Source organism: Homo sapiens, chromosome 1, assembly GCF_000001405.40.
Source record: "Homo sapiens chromosome 1, GRCh38.p14 Primary Assembly".
NCBI lineage: Eukaryota > Metazoa > Chordata > Mammalia > Primates > Hominidae > Homo > Homo sapiens.
The window spans coordinates 235,867,038-235,887,086 of record NC_000001.11 but is presented as its reverse complement, the minus strand read 5'-3'; the positions used below and the strand labels follow the sequence as shown (position 1 = coordinate 235,887,086).

Sequence of the window (20,049 nt, the reverse complement as noted above, 5' to 3'; positions counted from 1 at the left end):
TTCCACTTCACAACTTCCCATAACTTCTGACATATTTTTAATATGCCATTCTCTCTTCTCTAATAAGAATGGCAGACACCCTGTGAGTAGGCTATAATATTTAATGAGTTACTATGTTTGCCTGTGGATATTTTTAAAGGAATACAGTAACTCTTTAGGAGACAAATGCTTTTTTCCTCCTTGAATAGAATGCCAAGTAAAATTTGGGTAAATTTATAAATATTTCTTTTTTTTTTTTTTGAGATGGAGTTTCACTCTTGTTGCCCAGGCTTGAGTGCAATGGCACGATCTCCACTCACTGCAACCTCCACCTCCCAGGTTCAAGCAATTCTCCTGCCTCAGCCTCCAGAGTAGCTGGAATTATAGGCATGCGCCACAGCGCCCGGCTAATTTTGTATTTTTAGTAGAGACGGGGGTTTCTCCATGTTGGTCAGGCTGGTCTTGAACTCCCAACCTCAGGTGATCCACCCACCTCGGCCTCCCAAAGTGCTGGGATTACAGGCGTGAGCCACTGCACCTGGCCTATAAATGTTTCTTTAACAAATAAACATGGTGGGGGCAGTCAGACCTATATTATCCACCTTATTTTTCTTTTTGCCTTGATTACCAGCAATCTAGGCCAAATTCAGAGCCCAGATAATTGGCTCATCTCAGGCAATTTGTTATATTCACCCCATTTACAGAGCCCCTAGTGTATTTTTTATCTTAAATTACCCTAGTTTTGGAATCGGTATCAACTTTCTCAAGCCAGTTAGTATCACTCTGCACATCACAAGAATATTTAAGTAAACGGTAGCCACTCAGAAAGGATTTCTGTCTTCCAAATGAATCATTTGCATCCTGCTCATTAACAAGGGCCTCTAAGTTCATAATAAGGCCAAGATATATTTTTTTCCAAAACGTCTTCAAGAGGAAAATATTAATTCAGTACATCAAGTTATGATAGGTGATCTAACAACATTAGTAGAATTAAATGAGGCAGGAAGTGCCATGAGAAATGCAAGTAACACTTAGAGAGGTAAAGCCTTCACAGCTCTTCAAAATGCTTCAGGGGCTTTTTAATAATATGTGTTACAGCACGAAACAGAGCTAACCCACATTTCAAAGGAAAGAAGGCCTTTTTCTCCTAAAGGTATATGTTCACAGTGACTTTATTATCCACAGCATTCAGCCAGTTTTCATGTTGGATAGATAAAGAACTTTCTCTCAATACCTTTGACCCTTAACATCTCTGCTGGGTGTGAGTTAAACTCAGCTGATGTGAGAACAGTAAATATAGTCAAACCCACACTCTTTACATTGAGTGCAGCTGGGGGAATTCATCGACATGGCCTAAACAGTGATAAAAAGGGACTGCAATAATGATGTATTGAAGAAATATTTATCAAGAACCTAATACCTACATGGTACCTAAGATACTAGAATACATTTATAAATATTTGTTGAGGAACTAATTATAAAGACTATTCCAGGTGCTTTAGGGTTCAGCCACAACCTATTATAAGTAATACCTATTATAAGTGGGTGCTTGTAATAGATATTACCATATTATCTAAGCACTCACTTTAATACTCATTGTTCTGGGCTCCACCTGATGTTATGATATGAATCTTTTTAGCTATACTCTGATCCAGAAGATCACATGATTAGCATCAATTTCTAAGGACAGTAATAAACTTGATAGTTCTGAGCAAATACATACACTACAGAATAGTCATTCAACAAATATTTATTGCCTGCCTACTATGTAGTCTATATATACCTATATGTAACACACATGCAAAGAACAGTCTAGTTAGTAGTTTAGAAGGAAGGAATTGGATGTTAAACGGGCCTGGGTTCAAGCACTGGTGCCACCCTTTAAAAGCAGTGAAACATTGAACAAGTCTTAGATTCCTTATCAGTAAAATGGGAATAAAAGTACCTATCTGGAAGAATTGTTGTGAGGATTACATACAATAACACTGATGAAATACTAGCCCAGGACCTGGCATAATTGCCAATTTAAAAAGAGCAACTTGGCAAAGTGCTAGTTGGGAGGCCAAGGCGGGAGGATTGCTTGAGCCTGGGAGTTCAAGACCAGCCTGGGAGAAATAGCAAGACCCTGCCACTAAAAAATAAAAATAATTAGCTAGGCATGGTGGTGTTTTCCTGTAATCCCAGCTACTCAGGAGGCTGAGGCAGGAGGATCACCTGAGCCCAGGCGTTTGAGGCTGCAGTGAGCTAAGGTCACACAACTGCGCTCTGGCCTGGGCTTCAGAGCAAGACCCTGTCTCAAATGAAAAAAAAAAAAAAAATGCCATTGTTTATATATATATGTACAAAAGTTTCTAAATAAAAATATTAATTCAGAAATCCATAACAGACATATTAAAAAGATGACAGTAGTTTTTAATTAAAATATTTTAAAGGTAACAACAGGAGGAGGAAAAAAAAAAGGCATATTTTAGCACAAAGGAACGGCAAAAAAAAAAAAAAAAGACACTAGGAGTTTGGTGAAAGTTTGCCACCAGAAAGCTAGTGGCAGTATCCATGCTTCAAACTCATATTGTGGGCCAGGTGCAGTGATTCATGTCTGTAAACCATGGCTTTGGGAGACTGGGGCAAGAGGATTGCCTGAGGCCAGGAGTTCAAGACCAGCCTGGGCATTAAAAAATTAGCTGGGCGCCGGGCGCGGTGGCTCACGCCTGTAATCCCAGCACTTTGGGAGGCCGAGGCGGGCGGATCACGAGGTCAGGAGATCGAGACCATCCCGGCTAAAACGGTGAAACCCCGTCTCTACTAAAAATACAAAAAAATTAGCCGGGCGTAGTGGCGGGCGCCTGTAGTCCCAGCTACTCGGGAGGCTGAGGCAGGAGAATGGCGTGAACCCGGGAGGCGGAGCTTGCAGTGAGCCGAGATCCCGCCACTGCACTCCAGCCTGGGCGACAGAGCGAGACTCCGTCTCAAAAAAAAAAAAAAAAAATTAGCTGGGCATGGTGGCTCATGCCTGTAGTCCCAGCTACTTGGGAGGCTGAGGCAGGAGGATCTCTTGAGCCCAGGAGGTCTAGGCTGCAGTGAGCCATGATTGTGCCACTGCATTCTGGCCTGGATGACAGAGCGAAACCTTGTCTCTGAAAAAAGAACTCAGATTTTGGGGTTTAGTTTTATGTCCTCCAAGGACTGCAGACTTCTCAAACCAAGAGTAATGATGGTCCTCACAAGGACAAACTTAGGTCCACCCTCTCTGCAGAAGAATCAGGGAATTATGACTCATAGGAGCCACCACAAAATCACTAACTGGAAATCCTTGCTGCAGCTACACTGCAAAAGAATCGGACTTGATTTGCCAAATTCCCCATGTGATACAAGCGTGGCCACCTGCCAAAGAGCCAGAGGGAGAGAGGGCCACTCGCCTTCCTGGTGACACAGAGATTTCCTAGCCCCGTTACCAAACGAAAAAGCAACGCAAGGGCTTCTAAGAAGCCATCCCAATGACCTTTTGGCTTTGAGAAGAGCAGTCCTCATACCAGAGTGTTTGGGGTTTTGGCCTCTTTCAGTGTTTATTCATTCTTACGTGGGAAAGTTGTATTCCGAGGTTTCTGTGGTGCATGAAGCTTTTGCCTTCACCATCTGTTCCCGTGTCTTCCTCGGGTGACATCAGAGTACAGCAGTATTTTCCCTTGCCATCTAATGGGGTTTGGGCTGTTTGACTCAACCGTGTGTGTTCCTCAATGCCAGGGGAATAATCCTACCCTAAGTCAGCTGAACAGAAGCCAGGATCTAACTGCAAACAAGAGACCCAGCTTGCTTAACAGCATGGAAGAGACCAGTTTCGTTGCAGCTACCTGGGAAGACGGTTGCTAATTAGCCTGCAACAAAGAGTTCCTTGCTCATCTAAAAGAGGCAATCACCGTTCAGGTAGGTTAAAGTGTTTCTGAGACTTTTCAGTGCCAGCCGAGAGCATGGGCAGCTTAGGAGGGCAGGCTGGGTGCAGACTGAGAGCTTTAAGTACCACCGAGAAAGGTGACTGGTGGATGAATTTCTGGCAGTGCTGTTGCCTCCAGGAGCTGGCCCCTGCAGACTGCTTGCTCAGAGAGTGGCCAGGACTGTAGAGAAACCGCAGGGAAGAGTATTTGAGGAGGGAGAATACAGATACTTTTCTGGAGTGGGGTGAGCCAAAGACATTCATTGGAGAGATTCCAATCTGATTCTCGGGTGCCAGTAAAATTGAGATTATTTGTCTGGGTCATGGCGTAGTTATAAGGACTCACTCAATACATGTGTGCAGATGGACTCATGTGGGATGTTTTTACACAAGGCACATGAAACTGAACATCTCCAACATGGACTTATTCTTTCTCTCCTTCTCACTCCTCACTGCTAGCCCTCCCTAACCCTTCAGCCTCTGTTATATTTCTGATCTATGCTAAGGCTATCTCACATCGTTAGCTTCCACTCACCACCTCTTGTAGGTTCCTACACACTCTTAACACCTTTCTCCATTTCCAATACCCTCAGCTGGGGCCCTCATCATCTTTCTCTTGGGCTACTGCAAGAGTCTCCTCACCATTGTCTCTGCCTCTAGTCCCTTTCACCTCCAATCCTCTCTTCAGGCAACTGCCCACATTCTCTTTCTGAAATGCAAGCTTGGGCATATATCCAGCTTAATGGACTCCAGTAGCTGCCCAGTACCTATGGAATAAAGTCCAAAGCTTCCGCATGGCACACAGGAGCTTTCAAGATCGGCTCCCTCTGCCATTGCAGCTTCATCACCTGCAAGAGTCCAGGACTGTCATCACCTGGATTACCTGCTGTTCTCCTAATATGACCTTGGAATTGCCTCCTTACTTCCTATGCTATTCCCTCAGCCTGGAATATCTTTCTCTTGTCCTGCCTGCCAAACTCCTCCTCTTTTTTCAAGACAAAGCCATCTCCTTTGTGAAGCCTTCCCGATCCTCCTTCCTCCAGATCTGGGTTAAGTATTCTGCCTCCTATTTGTGTGTGTGTGTGTGTGTGTGTGTGTGTGAAAGAAAGAGTGTGTGTGTGTATGTGTGAGTGTGTGTGTTTAAATATACATAACATAAAATTTATCGTCTTACCCATTTTTAAATGTACAGTTTAGTGGCATTAACTGTACATTCACATTCTTGTGTAACCACCACCACTATCCATTTCCAGGACATTTTAAACTTCCCCAGCTGAAATTTTGTACCCATTGAACACTAACTCCTCATTTCCTTCTATCCCCCAGCTTCTGGCGACCACCATTCTGTTTCCTGTCTGTGCGAATTTGGCTATTCTACATACATGATATATATAGGATTTGTCCTTTTGTGAGAGGCTTTTTTCACTCAGCAGCATACCTTCAAGATTCATCCATGTTGTAGCATGTGTCAGAATTTCTTTTCTTTTTAAGGTTGAATAATATTCCATTGCATATATATATGTATGTACGTGTATGTAAATATATATACACACACACAGTGATATATATAATATATCACATTTTCTTTATTCATCTATCAATGGACACTTGCATTGCTTCCCCTTTGGCTTTTATGAATAATGCTGCTATGAACATGGGTGTACCAATATCTCTTTGAGATCCTGCTTTCGCTCTTTGATATGTACCGGAAGTGGAATTGTTGGATGGTATGGTAATTCACACCCCTATTATTTTTCCTCAAAGCCGATTGTGCATGTTAAATATGCATCTTCAATGTGGTAATGTAGCTATATACAAACTTCCAAGGAGTAATTTTAGGTAATTAAAGCACAGCAAAGACTCTGCAAAGAACATCTGACTCTTCCCTGTGGTAAAAGTATGTTTTCCACACAGAAGAACTTGCAAACCTGTTGAAACGTGACAGTGTGAATAACACTTGCAGTCTAAAATTAAACTCTGGCAAAATACTTCTAAGGAGAAAATTCTTTTAAGATAACCAGTTGGTAAGTTTTGTAGTTACCACTTCGTTATGACCTGCTTAGAAATTTGGAGTTAGGAACCCCAGTTCCAGCCCTGCCCTGTATATCACGTACAGCAAGTCACTTAATTTCCTAGGCTGATTCTCCTGCTTCAGCCTCCTGAGTAGCTGGGATTACATGCACCCTCCACCACGCCCGGCTAATTTTTTTATTTTTTGTAGAGATGGGGTTTCACCATGTTGGTTAGGCTGGTCTTGAACTCCGGACCTCTGGCGATCCACCCACCTCAGCCTCCCAAAGTGCTGGGATTACAGGTGTGAGCCACCGTGCCCGGCCGCTAAATGGAATTCTTTAAAGGAAAAAATGCAGCAATACTTGTTCTTCCCATTTGCGTAAGAAAAATCTTTGAAGATGAAGTAGAATCCTAGGGACATTTAAGGGTGACAAGATAGGTTCTGGTGGGATTTTAAAACATCACAATTGAGGAGACAGTTTTCCATAAATAAGGAATAGGCACAGAGAAGGAAAGCCCTGAACCAAGAATAGAAAAAATACTCTTGGTAAAAACAGACAGTAAGTCCTACATGGTATGTATACATTCCATCTAGGCAGTATCAGTTATAGCATTAGAATAAATACCCTAACCCACTTCCCATGGTTCTTTCTGGTTTGCTGTACATATTAGGTGTGGCAAAGATGTGTTTAGTCACTGTTATGACGGTGTCAAATGATGACACTTTTACCGAGTAATAAATCAACACAGGATCCTTGACTTAGAATAACTGACCAATCAACTTACTTGTACATCTTACAACCTCCATTCTTACCATGCATGTTTTCAGAATGTCTATGCTATTGATTCTCCACAAGGGAAGGCAGTATAAGGCAAGCCTGCTGAGTTTTTTTCACATATATTGCTAAACTAATATTGAGTGAGATATAGTCTTCCTTCTTCTCTGAAATTGAGGAAGTGGTCAATACAAAAAGAAACATGTTTGAGACAATTATAGAATTCAGATGACCTAACCAATGACTTGTAAATACAAGACATAAAAGGTACAGTGCTATGCATGTAGTTGCTGATAACTCTAAGAAAAAACGAGACAAGAGTTCACTCTTCTGAGAAACTTAGATCCATTCTCAGTCTGGGCATGGTGGCTCACACCTGTAATCCCAGCACTTTGGGAGGCTGAGGTGGGCAGATCACCTGAGGTCAGGAGTTCGAGATCACCCTGGCTAACATGGTGAAACCCCGTCTCTACTAAAAATACAGAAATTAGCTGGGCGTGGTGGCGCATGCCCATAATCCCAGCTACTTGGGAGGCTAAGGCAGGAGAATGACTTGAAACCGGGAGGCAGAGGTTGCAGTGAGCCAAAATTGTGCCACTGCACTCCAGCCTGGGCGACAGAGCGAGACTCCGTCTCAAAAAAAAAAAAAAGAAAGAAAGAAAGGAAGTTAGATCCATTCTCAGAGCTTTCAGTTTATAGTTCCATATTTCTCTGTTTTAGAATGCTCAGAAACAGCCTGAAAAGCTGAAAGGGAGTTAGTATGTAATAAAAGTGGCATTTCTAATTAGAGGGGAAAAGATGAGTATAATGAATGGTGTTAAAGGAACAGACTATGTATCTGGAGTAAAATATTTTTCCCTGTTCTCTTTCCCTTCAAACAGTGTCCTCCACACATGTTGTCAGGTGTCTGGTTAGACAGCCAGTTAACACAGGTAGCACCTGGGGTGCCACTCAGCAGTTCTTGAGGTGAATATTGTTAGCAGGCGACCATTCCCGCCATATGCTCCCTGCTTTTGCAAAACCAGTCCCCAGTGGCCAAAGATTTGTCTTGCTTTCAGACATCTATTATATGCCTGCCTTCAACTGGTCAGAATTCACACCCATACCTGCAAATGTATTCTCCCCAGTGACAAATGCTCTAATATTATTTCTGTGTATTAACAGTCAGCCACAAGTGGGTAGGATACTCACCTCATAGTTGTCTTCAATGTGTGAAGAATGGCTGGTAGTGGTGGTTCACACCTGTAATCCCAGTGCTTTGGGAGGCTGAGGTGGGAGGATTGCTTGAGCCCAGGGGTTTGAGGTTACAGTGAGCTATGATTGCACACAGAACTCCAGACAGGGCTATAGAACAAGATCCTGTCTCTTAAAAAATGTGTTACCTGTTGGGTACAATGTTCACTATTCAGGTGATGGGTACTCTAACAGCCCAGACCTCACCACTACTCAATATATCCATGTAATACAATTGCACTTGCACCCCTAAATCTGTAAAAAAAAAATTTAAATACTAATGTGCAAAGAACTGTGTTCATTAGATTGCCTGAGCCCAGCATGGTGGGTGGCAAGCATGGGTTAAAAGCCAGGTTTCCAACAATTAGCAAAGGCACAGCTGCCAGTAAATATGGTGTTGTCTGTATCCCATCAGGAAACCCTTGCTCTCCTATTAGACCTAATTATCAGTCAGCAGCTGAGTTCCAAAAATGGTGCTATGGGTTTGGCAGGAAACAAGTCAGGAGAGGTTATCCTGCTGGGTGAGAGGTCCTGTGATGGTGCTTTACAATACATTTCCTGGTCAGCTATTACTGTGATTTGGTGACCTCAAAATCTTGGCTGGTGCTTTTAGGTCTGGAGGAGGAACTTGGGCAGTAGGAACCACAATGGCGGAAGCAGGGCGGCCGTCATTATTTTTACTTCAGGTTGCTAGTATCTGACTATTAGGGAACATGTGTCCAAGGGGGTGGAATCAGGGAGAGTGGGATAGAAGGGAGAGTATCTTCTTGAAATCACATAGAATTCAGGAGAAGCTGAGTTCAATGGCAGCTTGCACACTGGTCACAGAGTCCACCCGCAGAGCCAGAGTTGCTCTGCCACAAGCCACTCCCTCATCACTCAGGGTGGGAATGCAACTTGCCAAGACTGCCTCCTGGCCTGGAGTCCCCCTCCAGCTGAAGGCCGAGCTCACCTGCTCCAGGGATGTTGCCTTGGGGCTCTGCTGATTAAGCTACCCTACCTTGCCAACACGTGTGAAGTGACAGGATGATTTTTAAAACTATAAAGATCCAGAAGATTACATTATTAAGTGGGCCCAGACATGTTTAAATGCATTGCATATTTGAGGCCCTTTCCAATTCAAAGGTGCTTTGATACATCTTATCTGAGTCAACTGTCTTCCTCAGTTAGATTTCTAGAATCTAGTAACACCCTGTTGCCCTGTCTTCTTGATATTATATTTCAGTGATTGGTTTGCCAACCTAATGTCTGCATTTGCTCCAATATCAATGTGTGTTTTAGATTTTTTTTTTTTTTTTTTTTGGTGGCAGATATTGTCAGATACTTCCGAATAGATCATACATTTTATTTCCCATAAGATGACCCACCTGGGCTACATCTACACTGCTAAGCGATGCAATTGTCTCAGAACTGTACTCACGGAATAGAAACGTTTAAAAAAGAAAGTTGACCGGCCAGGCGCGGTGGCTCACGCTTGTAATCCTAGCACTTTGGGAGGCCAAGGCGGGTGGATCACCTGAGGTTGGGAGTTCGAGACCAGCCTGACCAACATGGAGAAACCTCATGTCTACTAAAAATACAAAATTAGCCGGATGTGGTGGTGCATGCCTGTAATCCCAGCTACTCGGGAGGCAGAGGCAGGAGAATTGCTTGAACCCGGGAGGCAGAGGTTGCAGTGAGGGAGATCGTGTCATTGCACTCCAGCCTGGGCGACAAGAGCAAAACCCCGTCTCCAAAAACAACAACAACAAAGTTGACCATAAGTGAACTGTTTACAAAATGAATTCTGTGTTCCCATGATTCCTATATTTCCTCCTCTGATGTCAGCACAATCTGGGCAGGGAGAAGGATTTTTCTTCCATCAGAGGCTCCAGCAAACACCTGGTAGAGTGAGTGACCCCTCTCTGTCATGGCTGGTGTGTGGTGCTGGCCCCTCTTGATAGCGGGACAGGGCCAGCCATTCTCTTTTCTCTGGTACAACCACTCGGTTATATGGATAGCATGTCAGTGCTGACTTCAACCAGGGATCCCACAGACATTTTAGGGAAAACAAGCCTTTCTGTTTTAAATCTCAGATGCTTTTGTCCAGGACTGGACATAGAAATATCTAGAAAACAGGTAAGGAGCAAATCTGGATGCCAGACCCTCTGCTGTGCTTACAGTCACCTGTTCCATTCTGCAACCCAACTTTTATTATCAGATAAGCTTTTGTACCTGGGAAGGTCTGAATGAGAGCTCTTCAGTCACTCCTCTGAACCAATGCCTGGGGCTGCCCCACCAGGACCCGTATAACTCGTACCATCTAAATTCTAGTCATAAACATAGCTTAGGCTTAAAGTGGACCATGCTACACTAATATTCAGTTCTGATTCCAAATATATGACAGGACTGTGCCTCTCAAATTAGCTTATGTAGTGAGCTGGGCAAATGATTATGTCATTTTTACAAGTTTAGTTTCTCTTTGCAGAAAACAGAACTTTACTAACAAACAGGATGTCACATCATAGGGCACATAGATGTCAAATATTCCGATCTGCCAGGAACAAAAAATCAGAATTTAAATAAAATCTCCCCAAGTATAATAATAAGCTCTAGCAACTGTCAGCCATGTGGCTACAGATCATAGAGAATTCATTCAACTATTTATATTCTTCTGTGTCATCAGCTTCCTCGTTTATCCAAAAAATTAATTGAGCAACTACTACCTTGGTTACTTGGGAACACAAAAAGTCAAAATGCAGTTCCCACAACTTAGTAAACTCAAAGTGTATTTGAGAAGACAAACCATTTTTTTTAAAGAAAATAACAATAGAAATACTGTGGGAAGCAGGAGAGGGAGGGAAAACTATATTGGATTGTGTTTTGTTTTTTTGGCCATGTGGGATGTTCTTTCCCTTTTAGCAGATAAAAAAGAAAATGTATTTTCTTTTTTTCTTGAGACAGAGTCCCACTCTGTCACCCAGGATGGAGTGCGGTGACATGATCTCGGCTCACTGCAACCTCTCCCTCCCAGGTTCAAGTGATCCTCTCACCTCAGCCTCCTGAGTAGCTGGGACTATAGGAGCTGCCACCATGCCTGGCTAATTTTTGTATTTTTAGTAGAGATGGGGTTTCACCATGTTGGCCAGGCTGGTCTCAAACTACTGAGTGGTTCTAGTGAACCACCTGCCTCAGCCTCCCAAAGTGCTGGGATTACAAGCACGAGTCACTATGCCCGGCCAAGAAAAAGCATATTTTAATTTAAATCTTAACTCATAAATAAGGAAAGATCATGCCTTTAGTACATTCAATGCAGTTTGTTTGTTTTTGTTTGTCTGTTTGTTTGAAACAGAGTCTCGCTCTGTCACCCAGGCTTGAGTACCATACCTCACTGCAAGCCTCAAACTCCTGGGCTCAAGCCATCCTCCTGCCTCAGGCTTCCAAGTAGCTGGGACCACAGGCGTGTGTCACCATGCCTGGCTAATTTTTTACTTTTGTAGAGATAGGGTCTTGCCATGTTGCCCAGGCTGTAGCACAGTTCTTATGCAGGTGTAGGATGAAGACTAATTTAGACAACCAAGCAGTTGTGTGGGGCAGGACTCCTTCCATCAGCATGATGTAGCTGCCCCCTGGCTTAGGGTAAATTTTTATCCTTTGGTGTCTGGTCCTTATTAAAACAGACTCTCCACCAGCCACTCTGGAGAGTCAGAATATTGTGTTATTATAGTTATGAAATGCTTAATCAGCATCCCTGTAATTGCCACACAATAGCCCCAAGATATTTGTCCCAGGATATTTAACATGTGCTTTGAGGTTTTTCAATAAGTGATTGGACATTTTAAGCAACATGGAACATGCCTTAGTTAAAAATGAAAGGAGGAAATAGGGAATAGTGATCTATGCAGCTACAGTGGGAGCAGAAGTAAAACACAAATCATCTTCCTCCACCCACCTGCCTGCCTTCCCAGCATCATTCTCAGCCTCCCTGAATTGTGGCATTGACTCTTTCACTTTGGAAAAGATCTTCAAACCACCGTGATCTTTCCCACCAGTCTTTATACCCGCTGTTCCCTCTATTCTAGGAATGGAGGGAACAAAATATACTTTAATGTACATATAAATCACCCGGGGATCGTGTTAAAATGCTAAGCCTGACTCAGTAAGTCTGGGGCATGGCCTGAGATTCTGCATTTCTCTCAAGCTCCCAGGTAATGCTGATGCTGCTGGTTGGAGGAGGAGCCTGGGCTTGGAACACCCTTGCTGTCCATCCCAGCTCAGCTGTCAGTTGTTTCTGGACACACGGATTTTATGCACACACATCTATGCACACACACGCCCATACAAATAACAACCATATCAACAACACCAACAAAACAACAAACCCTTTCAGGGACCAATCAAATTTCCAACTCTTTATTGTCAACTGATTGGTCCAGAAAGGCTATTTGAGACATCCAAACTGTTATTTCTGTATCATAAAAGGAAGATTATTTAAATTCTCCAAAAGTAGGAAGGGCTTAGTTTCAGAATAAAGGACAGTCCTTTGGATAAAATTAGCTTTATGAAAAAAATGTTTTCTGCATTACTCTTATTTTAAAAAATTTATCTTAGACTGGAGGTGCTTAAAATATTAGGAAAAACTGGCCTGCTCAAAGCCTGCTGAGTGTTTAAGTCTCAAGTTTAGAGGCTGCTTTCCAAGAAGCTTTTTATGATCCCAGGATGGGAGTTGGGTGTCCCTCCGCGCTGCTCCAGAGAATCCTACGCACAATGTTGCCATAACCTTCATCTCCCTCGACTATAGTTGCTTGTTTACTTGTCTGGAGTCCAAGCAGACCCAGAATGTCTTTCATTCCAAAGCCTTGAACATTGCAAGTATACAGAAAATACCCAATAACTGAATGAAGGTCTGAAATAACAGATCAATCCTGCAATCTTACTACTGTAGTGGATTCTGTGTGTGGGACTAGGTAGAGTTGGAGACATTTTTTTGAAATGGTGCAAAATTGTGGTGTTTATAGAATGGTAAACTGTAAATATTCAGAATCTTTTTATGTAGCACCATTTTTCAAGGAGGCAGCGAAACACACATATATATTTTTACCTGTTCCTTACCTTGACCCTGAGTCACCCTTTTCAACTGTTGCTTTGAAGTGGTCAAGTGTTATTCTATTCTATGCATCTGCTGAGAACTTATATTATTTGTGTTTTTCTATTTCCTTCTGAATGAGAGACCATGAGTTTTAGCGAGTCCTTGTAATTTTTAATCTGCTCAGATAAACTGGGCTCTTGGCTTTATAAACAGGAATGAATAGGAAACCTGTATTTCAAATGATAATGTTTCTTAATTTCCTTGTACTTCTTAGCCTGTCTATTGTGTAGGACAGATTTAGTTTGCTCTTCCAAAATAAACAGCTAGTGTGGTTTCAGGTGAAAGTTAATCAGAAATTTGTAGACCGCAGGAATATATTGGGAATTAAGATAGACAAATACTGGCTGTCAAAATAAGTAATGCCAAGTAAATCACCTGGCTAAGAATTATGCTCAATAATAGACCCAAATCTCTCTTTTTTCAATGATAGTGGTGGTGATAGTAATAATAATGCAATAATAACCACAACTATGTGTGTTTGTGTGTGTGTCTACTAAAACACCTGTGGGCATGTCTGTCAATTACTAATGATTATCTCTAGGGTGAGATCATGGAATACTTCCATTTCCTACGTTGTATATTGTGTATTTGTCTAGTGTTTGAGTTTATTACTATAGCATATGTTTTCTGTTGTAAGCAGAAAAACAGGACAGAATTGTTAAATGGAAAAAAAAACTTGTATGAGAATTAATGACACTGTTGCCCACAAGTACAGTCTTTTCTATATATGAAAGTAGAACACTATGACACGTTCAGCCTGAGGTTTCCACAGGAGAGGGGAAATTTCAGTTGTTTTTAACACTTTTAGTTGGTTGGAAAGGTCATCTCAAGGAAATAGTTTCTGATGTTTATGTCAGGACTCAACACAATACCCCAAAGTTTGGTGCCTTGGCATGCTGAGTGCTTTGAACAAACTGCAGGAAACCAAGAGAGCCTCAGAAGCAAGATCTGTTTCACCTTCTCTCACCCTCCTTTCTCCTGCTTCTCTTTCTCCTTCAAGATAGGCCGTGGAAACTCTAAGGCAAGCCATAGAAAGTAGAACTCCTCCACCACAAAGCAAGTCATAAACCTGGAAATATTATTCTTTTTCTTCCCAACTTTCTTTTTGCTTTTTGAGACAGAGTCTCACTCTGTCACCCAGGCTGGAGTGCGATGGTGGGATCTCGGCTTACTGCAACCTCCACCTCCCAGGTTCAAGCGATTCTCCTGCCTAAGCCTCCTGAGTAGCTGGGACTACAGGCATGCACCACCACACCCGGCTAATTTTTTGTATTTTTAGTAGAGATGGGGTTTCACCATGTTGGCCAGGCTGGTCTCGAACTCCTGAACTCAAGTGAACTGCCCACCTCTCAAAGAGCTGGGATTACAGGTATGAGCCACTCTTTCTGCCCAACTTTCTGAATAGAAGCTGGCCATAAAAAAATTCTCTGACCTCCCCTGTTGGATGATTCTAGGTCATAAGACCTTCATTCCAGAGGCATCCTGCCCTGTATCCGGGAAGAAGGAATGCTGCACACAGATGCCAAGAAGAATCGGAACAGACAGGCATTGCTGGATCCCCCCTCGGTCTATTACCACGAGATCAAACTCTTTTGTCCAATCACATGTCTACAGTGCTGTCCATTCTTCATTGAATCTAAGCAGAAAAATGGGCAGTTTTCCCTGGGTCTTCCGGTCTTCATTTCTGAAGTCTTCCATGTTACATAAAACTTTTTTTTTTTTTTTTTTTTTTTTGAGACAGAATGTCACTCCGTTGCCTGGGCTGGAGTGCAGTGGTGCGATCTTGGCTCACTGCAATCTCCGTCTCCCAGGTTCAAGCAATTCTCCTGCTTCAGCCTCCTGAGTAGCTGAGACTACATGCATGTGCCACTATGCCTGGCTAGTTTTTGTATTTTTAGTAGAGACTGGGTTTCGCCACATTGGCCAGGCTGGTCACGAACTCCTGACTTCCGGTGATCCACCCGCCTCAGCCTCCCAAAGTGCTGGGATTACAGGTGTGAACCACTGTGCTTGGCCCCATGTTACGTAAAACTCTGATTAAATAAATTTGTATATTTTTTCCTGTTAATCTGTCTTTGTTTTATTTCAGAGCCAGCCAGGAACCCTGGGAGGGTTGAGGAAACATTTCCTCCCCGACATGTAGAAATCTTTTAATGCAAGGACGTGAGAGTTTTTGAGTAAAGTATAGATACTGTCACCGGAAAAGGGATCTTGTCCCAGACCCTGAGAGCAGATTCTTGGATCTTGCACAGGAAAGAATTCAGGGCGAGCTGCAGAGTATAGTGAAGTTAAGATAGTTTATTAGAGACTACTCAATTACAGAGTAGGGTGTCCTTAGAAAGCAAAAGGAAGAACTCACTACCTTAAACATAGTGCTTGCTTCTATAGGTTGTTAAGAATAGTGTACTTTATTACAAAGACTTGTGATCAGCTTGTGACATGCTATTAGTATTGTTATTTTCCTATGTTACTATTGATTTCAGCAAGAATTAATGAGTATATTATATGATCTTTAAAGCAAAACCTAGTCTTAAACTAAGAATGCTTTTTGTTCTTAAAGTACTAGGACATTTCCATAAATTCTGGGTCTTTAATTAGTTATTAGCATCATTAACTCATTCCCTCAACCATAAATGTCTTGTGACCAACAGTGCCCAACCCCTCGGGAATGTAACACAGCAGGTTTGCTTTTATCCGGCCTTTATTCAAGATGGAATCGCTCTAGTTAGGACGCCTCTGACAATACTTTTGGGGATTTCAAATGCTATTGGTGATTTAGTAGAGAAAATTACATGAAAGAATCATACTAAAACCAAATCTGATAACTTTTGCAAAATGAAATGGATGTTGGTAACAACTTAATGAAGACATTAATTATGAATTGACCTCTTCAATAAAGTTTCAAGGTGGCTACCAAGACGCACAATTGTAAAAGATGTATATGCATCCTAATAAGGTAAAGCACTTCAAAATTAAAGTGACACTCAAAATTAAATTGATGCAGGTCTTTAGTCAAATGCATAATTTTATTCATCTGTATAATTCTGACCTTCTTACTATTGCTGAAATCGCAGTCTTGTATTCCTCTACCACTTCACAAATCCATTTCTGTTCCCATGCATTGCAGTAGGCATTAAGATTGTCCAGCTCCAAAATTATGGTCAACTTACTGTTTGGATATTTATTTGAATTTTCAACAAAATTTTCTTAATTTAACTATTTATCCAAATATTTACTGAGTGCCTACTAAGTGCCAGGCACTGTTCTGGTCCTTGGGATACATCAGAAATAGAACAAAGATTGTGGCCCTTGTGGAGCCCATAGTCTAAACAGGGGTGACAATGAAAATAAACATAAGAAATAGACAAATTATGTAGTATGTTAGAAGCTGATGGGTGCTATGAAAGAGATGATGTTTAGAGTTACAGGTTACACTGTGATAAAAGAAACACTTCAGCCAAATTAAATTTAAAGTTTAATTGAGCACAAAACAATTCGTGAATCAGGCAGCCTTCTGAGCCAAGGTAGGCTCAGAGACTCCCGCGCAGCCACACGGTGGGAGATTTATGGACAGCAAAAGGAAAGTGACATACAGAAAATGGAAGTGAGGTACAGAAACAACTGGGTTGGTTGCAGCTCAGCGTTTGCTTTATTAGAACACAGTTCAAACAGTTGGCTACATTTGATTGGCCAAAACTCAGGGATTGACACAGGTGTGGGCTATGGCCTGTTTACACCTTCATTTGTTATAGCTCATGATGTACAGAAAAACCTTTAGGCTGAACTTAAAATATGCAAGGAGGCAGCTTTAGGCTAAACTTGATTTAACAACTGTGTCAACTCTCACCAATGCCACCCACCTCCCCACACCCCCCAAGAAGGGACAGAGAACATACATGTTTTTTAATACTATTGTTTTAGGGAACATTTGTGAGATGAGGTCCATTCATGTGTGGGGTCCAGGGCAGAGGCCCCTCTTGCCTAGTTTAAGGGCAGTATTAAGGGTAGACCTCATTGAGAGGTGAAATTTGAGCAAAGACGTGGAGGAGATAAAGGAGTTAACAACTGCAGCCATGTGGAGAAAACAAATTTCAAGCAGAGGGGCCGGCCAGTCAGTGCAAAGCCCTTAAAGCAGGACTGTATCTGGCATGTTTGGTAAACAGTAAAGAAGCAGGTATGTAGGTAGTGATGGGAGAGTAGAAAGAGACGAAGTTTTGAGGAGCCAGATGGTGTTAGAGCTCTGTAGGCCAATTGTAAGGACTTTGGCTTTTATCTGAGAGAAGCGGAGAGCCAATGCAGATTTTTGAGCAGAGATGTGACATGATTTGATTTATATATCCATTTAGTCACAAATAATTTTTAAAGGTGTTTTGGAGAATAATTAAATGTGAAATTATGCACATTTACGTTGACTGTGTTGTTTTAAGCTGGGATGTTACAATCTCATTGAAGATTATAATTCTGGAGTCAAATTAGCTGAAGACTTTCCTGCTTAAAAAGTTTTCCAGCATGTGATACATGCGTAAGTAGAGCTTTTTTAATTATTATTTTTTTTTTTGAGACGGAGTCTCGCTCTTTCACCCGGGCCAGACTGTAGTGGCGCTATCTCAGCTCACTGCAAGCTCCGCCTCCCGGGTTCACGCTATTCTCCTGCCTCAGCCTCTCGATTAGCTGAGACTACAGGCGTCCGCCACCGCGCCCGGCTAATTTTTTGTATTTTTAGTAGAGACGGGGTTTCACCGTGTTAGCCAGGATGGTCTCCATCTCCTGACCTCGTGATCTGCCCGCCTCGGCCTCCCAAAGTGCTGGGATTACAGGCGTGAGCCACTGCGCCCGGCCAAGTAGAGCTTTCTTCTATATACCTATTACTTTACTTTTTTCTTCTTTTTCATGTTCTTCACTACACATTTTGTGTGTGTTCCTAGGAAATCTTTTAAACTAAGTTTTATTTGATATGTATATTTAGTATCGATGTTCTAAGATACTATTGAATAAAATACATACTGCAGTAGCTTAGTTAAAATACTGGAACCGAGGCCAGGAGCGGTGTCTCATGCCTGTAATCCCAGCACTTTGGGAGGTAGAGGTGGGTGGATCACCTGAGGTCAGGAGTTCGAGACCAGCCTGACCAACATGATGAAACTCTGTCTCTACTAAAAATACAAAATTAGCCGGGCATGGTAGCACATTCCTGTAATCCCAGCTACTTGGGAGGCTGAGGCAGGAGAATCACTTGAACCCGGGAGGCGGAGGTTGCAGTGAGCCGAGACTGTGCCACTGCACTCCAGTCAGGGAAAAAGAGTGAAGCTGCATCTTGAAAATAAAATAAAATAAAAAACACTGGTACCGAAAAAAATAATAGTCACAAATGGCATTACTTTGTGCCTTTTACAAACAAATAATACTTTGAGGGCCAATTGTATACCATTATCATCTAAAGTCTGTCTCATTTTCTTTGCTTTAATGAAATCATGATAATCTATTATTTTCTACTCAAGGTTAACAGAAACTGGCTTGTTACTTAATATTTCTTTGACTTCTTTTGTCCATTAAAAAAGGGGGGTGTTTTTAAGATTAGTGGGTGAAAGTTGATGTATAAATAAGAGTAGACACAGCTTTAGGTAAAATGACGAAACAGGTTAAGTTTGGCTTCCTCTTTTTGTTTCAGTTCAGGCCCATGCACCTAGCACAATACTTAGCGCATTGTAGGTGCTCATTATATACTGCTTAAATGAGTGATAAGTTCCCTGAGACATTTATTTCCTGCACTTGTTAGGGTTCAGTGAGCCGATATCCGGCCACTGCCCTCCAGCCTGGGCGACAGAGCGAGAATCTGTCTCAAAAAAAAAAAGATAAAAAATAAAAATAAAAGACTACCTGCCAGAGGAAGTGGGCAATCTTCGCCTAAAGATATGAACTGCTAATGGTTAAACATCAGACGTCAGAGAAGACATATTTTAAAGTGGGGAATTTTCCCCAAGAGCACCCTCTAAACCACATCAGTGGGCAACTTAACGCACTTTGCTTGTCATTGGGTTAGATGGGAGTTTGAGGAATTGGGAGTAACATTTGGTATATAGGCTTGGGACATAATATCCTGAATTATTTCTATTTCATAATTCCTGTGCAAAAAATTATGGGAGTTGTTGATTCTACAGCAATTCCTGTCAATTTGTAGATTATCTGCTTATTAATAGTTTGTATTGTTTGGCAGAACTTGAAAACTACCGAACGATTACAGTTCAGGCTTTTTCCCAGTACCTCTGGCGTTGCTGTCTCAGTGACTAGGAGGTGAGGAGGGTGGCCCTTGAAATGCCAAACTGCCTACCGCAGCAGTCTGCCAGCAGCGTGCTGGGCCCAGAGCCGGGGATGCAGCCAAAACATCCTGGATTTTACCTACAGCTCCCACCCTCTGGAGGGACTGGTCTATTAGGGCATATGACACTGACAGTGCGCACTGTATACAAACCGTGTTTGAACAGGAGTCGGTTGGAAAATACACCACTGCACTGAATTACTTCTGCAGTGGCTTTGCAAAGCTCTTTTTGTTTCTTGAAAGAAGCCGACGGTAACCATTACAATATGGCTTTTTCCAGGTCCCAGAGGAAGGCTAGGGGTGCCTTGTGGGTAACCCTTTCTCCCTCTCCTGACTCCTTCCCGTTATTTCTTCTATCTTCATCCTCTAGACCTACACAATGGGACAGGTTGACAGTCTGTGTTGAATGGAAGAGGCGGACGATGCGCTTGTGTTTGGTGCTTCTCAAACGGTGCTCGCACTCCCCAGGGTCTGACGCAGCCCACTACGCAGAGCCCTGGGAGGAGGTGCGGACCCAGGGTACGACCCCCGACCGCTGAGAAACCCAGACCGGGCCCCGGCTGCAGCCCCGCGGGTCGGCCCGCCCCCCTGCCTTCCCTATTGGCTCGGCAGTTCCACGCGTCACGCCTGCGACGCCGGCGCTGCCCTCCCAGAGGAGGCGGGGCTTACACGCGCG

At 42.6% G+C, this 20,049-nt stretch overlaps 1 protein-coding gene across 3 annotated transcripts in view, besides 2 other annotated features; it reads left to right on the top strand.

Annotated features, from left to right (window-relative positions):
• Positions 3,374 to 20,049, top strand: part of LYST (lysosomal trafficking regulator) — a 222,683-nt gene continuing 206,007 nt past the window's right edge. For 2 of the 3 annotated variants that reach the window (NR_102436.3, XM_011544032.2), the window contains exon 1: positions 3,374 to 3,900. The gene's annotated coding sequence lies outside the window, so the exon portion shown is untranslated. The remainder of the gene's footprint in view (positions 3,901 to 20,049) is intronic. The other variant, NM_001301365.1, reaches the window with a different exon arrangement.
• Positions 6,680 to 6,959: an enhancer, noted in NCBI's record as "active region_2807". NCBI's record gives its function as "activates an Ori minimal core promoter by ATAC-STARR-seq in GM12878 lymphoblastoid cells {active_cell/tissue: GM12878}" and the evidence as "EXISTENCE:reporter gene assay evidence [ECO:0000049][PMID:35858748]".
• Positions 19,714 to 20,013: a silencer, noted in NCBI's record as "silent region_1992". NCBI's record gives its function as "represses an Ori minimal core promoter by ATAC-STARR-seq in GM12878 lymphoblastoid cells {active_cell/tissue: GM12878}" and the evidence as "EXISTENCE:reporter gene assay evidence [ECO:0000049][PMID:35858748]".